This window comes from Homo sapiens, chromosome 8 (assembly GCF_000001405.40).
Source record: "Homo sapiens chromosome 8, GRCh38.p14 Primary Assembly".
In the NCBI taxonomy this organism is placed as follows: domain Eukaryota; kingdom Metazoa; phylum Chordata; class Mammalia; order Primates; family Hominidae; genus Homo; species Homo sapiens.
In genome coordinates this window covers 127,562,721-127,574,858 of record NC_000008.11, presented here as the reverse complement: position 1 = coordinate 127,574,858, position 12,138 = coordinate 127,562,721, and the positions used below count along the sequence as shown (strand labels likewise).

Here is a 12,138-nt window from a genome sequence, read left to right as displayed (position 1 = left end):
TCGGTTAGTTCCTTTTCCTGTCCTCTCCTGCTTTTTACACTTCCTTTTCCCTGAGATCCCTCCTTCAGTGAATCACATATACTTTAATCCCTGTCTCAGCCTCCACTTGGAGGAAACCTAGTCCAAGACAGTAGCTCTGTCTCCACATACTTAATCAGGGATTCCGGCTGACAGATGCTCTGTATTCAACACACAGCTTCTGAAGTCACCCTGGGGCTCAGCATTCTGCCAGCAGACAGAGAAAGGAAGAAAGAGAGCAGACAGCAGTAAAGGAGGTTGTATGAGTCAGGTCTGGACGTGGTATCCATTGCTTCTGTGCACATTCTTTTGGCCAATACTTAGTCCCAGCCACACCAAATTGCAAGGGAATCTGTGCAATAAGCATAGGCTAGCTCTGGGCTAGGAGAAGAGAAAAATGCGTTTTGTGACCAGCTGAGCCAGTCTCTGTAATGACAGACACTGTGATGACACCCCATTTTAAAGGTGAGAAAACTGAGGTTTAGAGGCTTTAAGTAATTTGCCCAAGGTTGCAAAGTCAAGACAAAGGCAATTTAATACCAGAACCTGTGTGCTTGACCACTCTGTATGTTACTACCTGTAGACAAGGGTCGTTGAATACGGTCAATGACTGACGATGCTGAGGTTCTTGTTTGCTGTAGGTCCCTTGACCTCATGGCTGTACGGGCAAGGCTTTGCATTAGCAGTGTGTTGGAATCCACTCTGTCTTGACTGAGACATCCCTCATTTAAATTATAAAGTAAATTAGAATAAAACACCTCTGCTCTACGTCTTTCCAGGGACCATCTGAACAGAATATTTCCAGATTTCTAAGATTAAAGCACAAGACAACTGTAAAGATGATAGCGGGAAGAAAGAGGCAAAATAAAATAACATTAAAATGGCACCAGTTACTTTTCCTCCAAGGGTTTAGAATTCCTACTGGGACCTTCACAAGGCTGGAACTTTCAGCCCTATATCTCACTATCCACTCATGGCAGCCTCCTGGTGGCTCACTCCACCCTAGCCAATGTAAACTTCTCTCTGAGTGAGAGAGAGGAAGGGTTTCCAGGATGGACTGGGCCCGAGATTGCCTGCATTCACATTCTAGCTGGATCACTTCATGGCTCTGTGATTTTGAACTACTAGCTTACCTTTTCTGTGTCCTAGTTTTGGTCTGTAAAATTGTAACAATAATACCAGCAACATAAGTTTGTAGTGAGAATCAAATGAATGTCTGCTAGGACAGTGCCTCTGCATACTAGCATAATGTCTGTGTTTGCAGTTCTTATCGTTATTCTTTAGCAAGCTCCTTCCTGGCCCAGGGTTTAACTGTAGGCAGAGCCCTCTACAGTTCTAACTGTGTCATCTTCCACCAGGATTGACATTCATTGTCACATCCCTGGGGGAGCCCTCCTTCACACTCAGCCTAGGTTTGGCCTCCTGTACCCTTATTCTGCAAGGCTGGGATTAGGGTGAGGCAAAAGAGGGACTCACTTTTGGGTGCAAAATTTTAAGTGGGTGCCCATAAAACCCCCTTCATATCAAGATAAATAGTATTTTAATGCAATTATTTAACGTATCAAAATTAACGCAAAAAATTCAAGGTGAACAAAATCGCAAATTTTAAATAAAGACTCATGCTGTTCTGAGCCAAGCTGGTGCCTGAAGGAAAGGAAAAATGTATACTCCAGGCTTTTTGGAAGCAAGCACTCAATAATGTTTTTGGTGTCTACTTCTTTGCTTATCTTGCTTTCACTGGAGAAAATTGTCATGTTGGATAAATTCATGTGACCAAGTGGCAATCTTACGTGATTTTTTAATTAGCTTAAGCTATAATAAAAGGATAATACATTCTGCTTGGTAATAAATAAAATATTTAAACATAAAATAATGTGAGTTTTAATATCCTACTTTTACATTGTTCAGTGATTTTCAACTACTTTAATGTTCTGGGAAAAAATAACCATTAAAATATGCAAAATCATGTCTATAGGGGTGCATATTTTCCTTATGCCTTTGGCTCCATTGTGACATGGCATGATGCTTTGGCCTTTGTTTACATTTTGGATAGTTTCTTGAGCACGAAGATTTTTGTATTAATTTTGATTTGTCTTTTCCCTGTATGTTTTTGCTCCACCTTAAATTTTGCACTTGGGGCCAGTGCCTTATTTGCTTCCCCCACCCAATCCTGGCCTCGTTCTTTGGTAGCATTTATCAGAACCACGGTTAAATAGTTCGTTGTACCCTTTGATCAGTATTTCTCTTTCCCCATCTGTCCCCTGATCCCAGCTGCTGGTAACCACCATTCTATGCTCTACTCTACTTTGTTTTTGATTCCACTTTTAAATGAGATCATGTGGTCTTTTGTCTTTCTTTGCCTGCTTTATTTCACTTAGCATACTGTCCTCCAGGTTCATTCGTGTTTCTGCCAATGACAGAATTTCCTGGGTTTTTTTTTGTTTTGTTTTGTTTTTTGTGTTTTTTTTTTTTTTGAGATGGAGTTTCACTCCTGTTGCTGAGGCTGGAGTGCAATGGCACGATCTCGGCTCACTGCAACCTCTGCTTCCTGGGATCAAGCTAAATTCTCCTGCCTCAGCCTCCAGAGTAGCTGGGATTACAGGTGCACCACCAGGCCCAGCTAATTTTTTGTATTTTTAGTAGAGTTGGGGTTTCACCATGTTGGCCAGGCTGGTCTCAAACTCTTGACCTCAGGTGATTCCACCCGACTCGGCCTCCCAAAGTGCTGAGATTACAGGTGTGAGCCACCATGCCTGGCCCAGAATTTCCTTCTTTTTAAAGGCTGAAAAATATTCCATTGTGTATAGACACCACATTTTCTAAATCCATTTATCGAATAATGAATACCTAGGTTGCTTCCATATCTTGATTATGGTGAATAATTCTGCAGTAAACATGGGAGTGATCTATTGCACAGAACGGTGACTCTACTAAATAGTAGTCCATTATATATTTCAAAATTACTAGAAGAGTATATTTTAAATATTTTTACCACAAAAATAATATGTATGTGAGGTGATAGAATTGTTAGATTTAATTACTCCACAATGTAAATATATATACTATATAGAATTATTATTTGTTAATTAAAAGTAGAACTTAAAAATTTTTTAAAAAAGAACTAAAAAATGTCTATTAAGAAAAAAGTTAATAGTGCCACTAGTGTTTGATTCTGCCACGAATCAGCTCCCTGAGGGCAGAGGCAAGGCCTGTTTTGCTCCCCATTGTCTTCCTTGTGCTATCACAGCGCATGACCCCTAGCAGGGGCACAAAAACATGGGCTGAATAAATAAATGAGGAGATTTCTAAAAGAGGCTGCTCTAGCATGAGTTTGTGGTTTCAGTTAATTCTTCCAAGTGTTTAAGAAGGTAAGCGTCTATTAAAAATCTTCTATGGGCCAAGCACCGGTTGTGCAGCTCCAGGGATGGTGAAGGCCATGCCTTGACCATCCATGGGCTTGACTGGTGGTGAAGATTGATGAACACCCAGTTGAGTGTTGACAAGAGAGGTGCTGAGAGAGAAGGGCAGTGGGGTGAGGTAGGAGGCTGCGAGAGCACAGAGGAAGAGGAGGAGGGCTACCCTGGAGGTTCAGAGAAAGACTGCTTTTGAGAGGATGTCTGTGCCACATTATGAAGAAAGAGGAGGAGATGGGTGGGTGGACAAGTGGGGAAATGGAGTTTTGGACAGAGGGTACAGCACACACAAAGGCCTCGGGCCAGGAACTAGCATGCTACGTATACATGGGAACTTCTAGAAGTTTGGCCTTTTGGGCATAGATCTTTGGCATAGATCAAAGCTCTAGAACTCTGCTTGGGCAGGCTTGGAGAAATGGGCTGAGGAGATTCCCACAGTGTCAGGACTTTCATTGCCTTTCTGGGATGTGTGACCAGTAGTTGATTTCTGAGACACTTAGACTCATGGCTCATAGACTCCCAGATAACTGGGAGTAGCAGGAGGTCATCTATTATGTGGAATATGAAAGACTGGAGCTGAAACTCAGCAGAAGCCTGAGTCTAGAGCTAAAAGTGGTTATAGCGCTAAAACGCTCTCCCAAAACTCAACTGCAACCAGTTCAGCATGTCTCTCCCCATCCCCTTGATATGTATCCAGGGTTGTCACCTGACACTAGAGTGTCACTCACACCACGTAGGGGTTTAGTATCAACAATTTCCCTCTTGAAGTAATCTCAGCCAGTCCCTGACATAAGGCAGAGCACGGTTGCCGGGCCTGAGCCACATTTGTCTGTTACAACTCTCTGGTCCAAAGTCACAGTTGAAGCAGTGGACACCACCCCTTTGCCAAACAATTGTGGGTCCCCAGCAATGTGCTGGGAGAGCTTATCACAAAGGCCTTGTGGGGCTTCCTGTCATAACTTTGCACAAGGTGTGGGGTTATCTTTCAGGAAACTTTGGAGTTGAGAGTTGAGTTGTGAACCCTTCCCTGCGGCCCATTTCATCCTGAGATGAGTGTGATCAGGGAGATGAAAAGGGCCCTGCCCGGGTTGTTAAGGTTTACATTATCAGCTCCTTCAGTCTATATAAAAAAGACATTTGTGGTGGCATTTGACCCCGCAGAGGAATCTGAGCCATCTGATTGCAGGTATGGAATCTCGCAATCTGCCTTTATCTGCATCTGCGATGCATCAACTCCCCAAGGTGGCAGCTTCCCTTCAATAACCTGGTTTCAGCCCTAAGAGTTCAACAGAAGACATCTTGCTAGGGAGGAAAGACATCTGGCTATACCAGCGAGGCTGAAAAACCCAGCAGCTCTGGGAGAAAGAAGTCCTTTTCATATTTACCAAACTCAACCCTCCTCCAAGTGTGGAGACAGCTGGCTTTTGTTTTTTTTCTAGCTGTATGACCTCAGGTGATCACTTGGTCACTCTAAGCCTCAGTTTCCTCACAAATAAAATGGAAATGATTTTGCCTATCTTTTAGGATCAGTGATAATGCACCCAGAAAGCCCAATGCACAACAGATGCTTGATGAGGGTTTGGTGACTTATGCATGTGGTTCTCTCCTCCGTGCTCAGTGTCTCCTCTGATCAAAATTGGAAAAGGAAGTACTACTAGGACAGAGGCATTTAGTAAGTGGGGCTCAGATACTAACTGCAAATATTGAGCTTTGACCCCAGTGTTGGGTCTTTCTTAGGACATTTTCTTTCCTTTTCAAACAGATCAACTGTTACAAGAGTACTTTAGTTCACATTAATTATCCCATTGTAAAAATGCAAATTTATTTTGTCTTCTGCAACTTTGGGGAACTAAGGGTAGGTGTGCTGAGCCTTAGTTTGGCCTCTGACCCATGTTTGTCCCCAGAATTACCCAAGGCCTCCTGTGGAACTGGAATCCGCCAGCCAGAGCACCTCTCCCACTGACCCCATTCCTTGAAGCTGGCACCCAACTCTCATCTCTTGGGGTTAATGATGTGGTAGTTTCTCCACCCAGCTCTGGCTATGACTGCCTGGATGATTCCAGACAAAGTCTTCTATCTCTCATGCCTTCGGACCCCCGGACTCCCCTTCTGTAAAATGAGGAGCTGCCATGCAGTATTTTTCAATATCTCTCAGCTTCTGTTGAGGTATCTTCTATATGTACACCCTGCATGAGCCAGCTGTTGTCCACTGATTAACACTGGCTTGTACCTCAGGCTTGAGCTGACATCGATCATCCAAATTTCTCCTTGACCCACTCACCCAAGAACCCACTTCTTTGCCTCCTTCAAGAGGGTGGCTTGTCAGAGTGATGGCGTTTTGTTGGCAGGCAGACCTAAGCTCAAATCTTAGTTTTGCCTCTTACAAACTATGTGACTTTGGGATGATTCATTTATTTCATCCTTCTGGACCTCAGTTTCTTTATTTGTAAAATGGGAAAGCAGCCACGGAGAACACAAAAGCAAGTGAGTTTGGCCATGTTTCCATAAGACTTTACTGATGGAGATTGAAATTTGATTCTCATATACTTTTTACGTATCACAAATAGTATTCTTTTAATTTTTGCAACCATTAAAAAAATGTAAAAGTCATTCTTAGCCTCTGGGCAGGCTGCACTAAAACAAAGGGAGGCCAGATGTGGCCTGAGGACTGCAGTTTGCTGAAACTGCTCTAGTCATTTCTCTCTTCCTGGTCAGGGGCTGCAGAAGCTGAGTCCGTTCTTCCAGAACCTTTTGTCTTCAGAACTTATCACTCAAGTCTGGGAGGAAGGCAAGAGGCCCTCCCTTTTCTTTGTGCTGTTGAGGCAGCTCCGGCCTCCCTCTGAGAACTGCACAGGGAGAGAGGCCTTTTCTGGCTGCTTTTCTCCCAGTCTCAGCTCACACCCAGGTTTTTGGCATTGTGTTAGATAATTTTGCTAGTAGATGACTGGTCCGTACAACTCTCATTATGGGGGCCTCTGTGCATGAAGATGTGAATGTCTAAAGTGAGGGGAACTTCAGGCCAATTATTAAGCCTGGGAAAGTTCACGCATCTGAAAAATTATGCATAGGCTATGTATATGCACATCACCTACTCCACTCCTATTATACACACCCCAAGAACATGGTAAAAACATGCAAGAAAAAAAAAAAAAGAGCCAGACTGGCCAGGTGTGGTGACTCATGCCTGTAGTCCCAGCACTTTGGGAAGCCAAAGTGGGTGGATCGCTTGAGCTCAAGAGATGGAGACCAGCCTGGGCAACAGGGCGAAACCCTGTCTTTACAAAAAATACAAAAAAGTTAGCCAGGTGTGGTGGCGCACCCCTGTAGTCCCAGCTACTTGAAGGGTTGAGGTGGGAGGGTCGCTTGAGCCGAGGAGATGGGGGCCGCAGTGAGCCGTGATTAACTGCACCACTGGACCCCAGCCTGGGTGACAGAGGGAGACCATGTCTCAAAAAAAGAAAAAATAAACCAACAAAAAACCCAACCACAACAAAAAACCAGCCAGACCTTTCTTTTCATTATGAAAATGCTACTTCTTAAAACGTCTGCATCATTGACAGTATCTCCTTTATGTCCTGGAATGCGAGAAGGTAGCACACTGTATATGCCTTTTCAGGGTGGGAGGGGGAGAAAGAATGGAGACACAGGCCCAGACGAGAGACCTTTATCATTTCCTCTAGGAATTTTTCTTGGCTCTCTAGGGCTGGGGATTGACAGGGATAATGAATTCATGGCTCAGCTGGCAAATCCAATTAAGCTTATTAACAGGGTGGCCTTGCCTTGGGCCTGCTCTGTGGTGGGACCTTGGCAGAGAAGGAAGTGCCTTCTGTGCCTGGGGCATCTGATCCCCTCTTAGGCAGCCGTGGAAGCTGCAGTTAGGGCATTTCAAGGGACAGCAGGACTGCACACTTATATAGAGTCTGTGGTGCATAATCTAGAACTAGGATGACCAACCATCCCAGTTTTCCCAGGACCAAGAGGTTTTTCTGGAAAAAAATAACAAAGTCTAGGAAAAACTGGGACAAGTTGGTAACTTTAAATCTTGCCTCAGGAAAAAATGAGGCCCATTGTGTCCTTGAAGGGATGTAAGTAATCTCCTATGTAGATCCTCTAGAACAGGCATCAGCAAACTTTTTGTAAAGGACAAGATAGTCAATACTTCAGGCTTTTTCGGGCCACATGGTTGCTGAGTCACAACTACTCAGCTTAGCTGTGGTGATGTGAAAGTAACCATAGACAGTATGTAAATGAATGAGTGTGGCTGCGGCTTCATGAAGTGTTATTTATAAAAACAGGCCAGATTTGGCTGTGGGCTGTACAATGCCAATGCTTGCTCAAGGAGGTATCCAGTTTTTCTACCTCTCTGTATGCCACACATACATACACAAACAGGCACACCCGCTGTAACATTGTTTGGGAAGCAAGACAGCCCAGTGGTTATAGAGGGCTTGAACTTTGGAGTTAGAAAGATCTCAACTTGAATCTTGGCTTTCCCACCTGCTAGTTGGGTGACCTTGAGGATCGCATCTCTGAGCCTCCGAGCTTCAGTTTCCTCATCTAGAAACTAGGAATAATACAAATGGGATCGCCGGGCACGGTGGCTCACGCCTGTAATCCTAGCACTTTGGGAGGCTGAGGTGGGTGGATTGCCTGAGCGCAGGAGTTCAAGACCAGCCTGGGCAACACGGTGAAACCCCGTCTCTATTAAAAATACAAAAAGTTAGCCGGGAGTGGTTGCATGCACCTGTAATCCCAGCTACTTGGGAGACTGAGACAGGAGAATCGCTTGAACCCAGGAGGTGGAGGTTGCAGTGAGCCGAGATAGAGCCATTGCACTCCAGCCTGGGTGACAGAGTGAGACTCTTCTCAAAAAAAAAAATAAATAAATAAATAAATACAAATGGGATCTGCCTGCCAAGATAGAAGGAAAGGGGATTTGGACTTCATCTCTTGACTGGGGAGGTGTCAGAGAACATGCAGTTGTCTCTAATTCACCACAAGAGCGGGCCGGGAGGGGTGACAAGGTTATTCAGCAATCGATGCCTCTGTATCTAGCTCCCAGCTAGTTGCTGAAGCCAAAACACTCAGTAAGATGACAAATAGGTGTTTTCCTTGTGGAATTCATGGTCACATAGAAAATTTAGATAGCTAAACAGCCAGTTATAGTAAACAGGGTTGAAGTCCAGATAGTGAGAAGGCAAGAGTGAAGGAGGCTTCTGATTCTTTAAGAGAAAAAAGATTCGATGAGGGAAATACATCCCTTTTGCTGCCTTAGAGAGCAAAGAAGAGCAGCTGCTCAGGAGCCGCTAGGGTTGGTCACATGTGCAGGTGGCTTCTCTTTGTGTGAAACTGGGTGAGGCTGTTTGCTGCAGGGGTGTGGGCTCAGGATGTGTATGGATATGTTTGTGTGCCTCCCGGTAGATAACTTGTGGGCTGATGACAGAGAAAGGGCAGCTCTGATGTAACAAGAGACATGCTCACATCTGTGACTTGAAGAAGCCGAGACTTTAGGGCCAGAAGGGTCTTAGAGATGCCTCATCCAATTCCTTGTCCTCTTCTCATTTTACAGGTGACTAAATGGAGGACTTGTCCAAAGCATCTCAGCTAATTGGCCCTCTGATTCCTCATCAAAATAACATATTTCACAAGCGAGGCCAATTAGATTCTGGGTGAACTCAGTGATTGAGTTCAGATACTGTTCACTAGCTGGCCTCACCTGATTTGGGGTTGACAGAAGAAGGCAGGGTGAATGTTGAGAAGACAAGAGTGTATGCTCATCAGAGAGGACTGGGCACAGTGCCAGGCACAGTTCTCAGAAATGGCTGGTTGAATTTGAACCTGCATTTATTATGCTTCATCTAAATTGCATTCAAAGCTAACATTAGAAAATTTCAACCTAAATTAAAATTCTTACATTTTCATTTAAATGAATAAAACCCCCAACTTAAAACTGCGTAAACTAAGAGGGTGATCTCAGGGGAGATGCTGTTGTGTTTCAAAGATAACCTCAACGTGTTTAAAGTATGAGCTGAAAATCTTGGATGAGTTTCAGAAGATAGAAAGAACCTAAAAGCCTAAAAGCCCAGAATCAAGCTATGTTTTGTTGAGAGAAGCACACTGGCATTCTTGACCTGGACTCTTGGTCATGGTAGTATGAAGCTCAACCACAAGGCATGTTGCTCAATGATGTCCTGGCCTCCTCATGTGGCCATCTCTGATATAGCTATGTTATAGGATACCTTAGGGAATGTCAGTTCCTCTGCCTGGCTGAAGAGGCATGATGTCTGAGTCAGTCCCATAGTGTGAGAATCTCTTCTCCAAGATAAGATGACGTCAAGTATGGAACCCTTGGTACATGCCTGGCAGATGTTTGGTTTGTATTTCCATCCGGGAGATGCCACCCCTGGGCTTGTCCTGAAAACAACTAAGTCCAAGGGGTTATTAGACTGCTTACAGAAGGCTTCATCTAGAAAGTAAAAACAAAACTTTTAATGTATGAGCCATGCATAATCATTGCTAAAACATAAAAACAAAACAGAGAAAATCTAAAAGGAAATAAAAATTACACTATTCAAATATGACTACTTCTAAAATTTTCATGTGTATTCTCCCAGAATTTTTTCTATATGTGATATGAATGTATTTTTTAGGCAAAATTGAGAGCACACTGTAAAGCTCTATGACACTGAACAAGTGACATGAATTTCCTGAGGTTTAGGACTCTTTTCAACACAATAGGAGTGATGATACCATAAGGATTATTGCTTCCTCTCAAAATGCTGCTGCCGTGCCGTAGGAGGCCCAAGGCACATGCACAGGCCATGCATGAGTGCTCAAAGAATCGACCCTGCTGAGCCCAGCCTTAAAATCATCCCAGCCCGGGCATCGGCCACATGAGTGAAAGACCCTGGGTGATTCCAGCCCCCTGACATTTGAGTCACCCATAACTATTTGAGTCTTTCTAAATTAGACCCCAGACACTGTGGAGCAGAGAAAAGCCATCCCCACTGTGCTCTGTCCAATTTCTGACCCACAGAAGCAGCGTGCATAAGATGGTGATTGTTTTACTTTACATTTTGCATATGGTGTGGTTTGTTTTGCAGCAACAGTGTCTATAACTGGACTGTTAACTTTGAGGAGCACTTTAGAGCAAACCCTTACCTGTGTGTGGCATCCCTTTCCATTTCCTCAAGGAACTTGTTCTTCGGGTTGTTTTCTCTCTATCCTGACTCTTCTGTCCCTCCTACTCCTTCCATTCAGCCTAAAAGTGGAGTCAAGCCTTCTGCAAGGGGAAAATCCCTTCCCCTGTCTCCATCATTTTGAACTACAATCTTTCCCTCACCAATTCCTCATCAATTCCATTCTTGAAAGGGCATTTTATACTTCCTACCTTGACTGTGTTCAGGCTAGTTTATGCTATAAATATTCTCATGTCAAACTCATCATAAGACTCTGCCTAAAGGCCATTTTATGCCACTTGATCATGCTCAGTGATCTGAAAGTCCTCTCTCCCTCAGTTTCCAGGTTACCTGCATCTCTCCTGTGACTCTCCTTTCCTTACTGAGTGGTCTTTGGCAATATCCTTCTATTCACAATCTCTAAACTACTCCCGGATGGTCTCCTCTGTTGCTGTTGCTTCATTGACATCTCTGAACAATTCTCAAATCAACACCTCCAAAGAGGAGCTCCTGAGCCTCCAGTCAATGTTTAACCTGTTCAAAAGACATCCCCAGTCATCTCTTCAGTGCTTCAAACTTATGACTCACAAGACTAAACTTAATGAGCACTTCTCTTTAAAATCTACTTCCTTTTTTTTTTTTTTTTTAAATTCACGACAATGTCAGGTGTTCAGTCAGGCCTTAGCTTCTGGAATCAAACAGATCTGAGTCGACTCATGATTCAGCCACTTAGTAGATATGTGTCCCTGCAGAGATCTCTTGTCTGAGCCTCAGCTTTTCCTCTGTAAAATGAGGATAACTGTGTTCTTACTTCATAAAAATATGAGAATGTAGTAGTTGTTAGAAAGTGTAACTGTTACCATTTTTAGTAATTTCAAAATGTTACATTCTCTGAGCATGATATAATACATGCTCATACAGAACATTTGGAAAACTCCGTGAGGCAAGAGGATTGCTTGAGGCCAGGAGTTCGAGACCAACCTCGACAATAACTCCCCCTAAGATTAACTATAAATACCATTTGACCCAGCCATCCCATTACTGGGTATATACCCAAAGGATTATAAACCATGCTGCTATAAAGACACATGCACATGTATGTTTATTGCGGCACTATTCACAATAGCAAAGACTTGGAACCAACCCAAATGTCCATCAATGATAGACTGGATTAAGAAAATGTGGCACATATACACCATGGAAGACTATGCAGCATTAAAAAGGATGAGTTCATGTCCTTTGTAGGGACATGGATGAATCTGGAAACCATCATTCTCAGCAAACTGTCACAAGGACAAAAAACCAAACACCTCATGTTCTCACTCACAGGTGGGAATTGAACAATGAGAACACTTGGACACAGGAAGGGGAACATCACACACCGGGACCTGTTGTGGGGTGGGGTGGAGGGGGGAGGGATAGCATTAGGAGATATACCTAATGTAAATGACGAGTTAATGGGTGCAGCACACCAACATGGCACATGTATACAGTTGTAACAAACCTGCACATTGTGCACATGTACTGTA

The 12,138-nt window shown here is 43.7% G+C and overlaps 4 annotated features.

The window, feature by feature from the left end:
• Positions 6,286-6,335: an enhancer, noted in NCBI's record as "active region_27945". NCBI's record gives its function as "activates an Ori minimal core promoter by ATAC-STARR-seq in GM12878 lymphoblastoid cells {active_cell/tissue: GM12878}" and the evidence as "EXISTENCE:reporter gene assay evidence [ECO:0000049][PMID:35858748]".
• Positions 6,856-6,905: an enhancer, noted in NCBI's record as "active region_27944". NCBI's record gives its function as "activates an Ori minimal core promoter by ATAC-STARR-seq in GM12878 lymphoblastoid cells {active_cell/tissue: GM12878}" and the evidence as "EXISTENCE:reporter gene assay evidence [ECO:0000049][PMID:35858748]".
• Positions 6,946-7,035: an enhancer, noted in NCBI's record as "active region_27943". NCBI's record gives its function as "activates an Ori minimal core promoter by ATAC-STARR-seq in GM12878 lymphoblastoid cells {active_cell/tissue: GM12878}" and the evidence as "EXISTENCE:reporter gene assay evidence [ECO:0000049][PMID:35858748]".
• Positions 9,819-9,918: an enhancer, noted in NCBI's record as "active region_27942". NCBI's record gives its function as "activates an Ori minimal core promoter by ATAC-STARR-seq in GM12878 lymphoblastoid cells {active_cell/tissue: GM12878}" and the evidence as "EXISTENCE:reporter gene assay evidence [ECO:0000049][PMID:35858748]".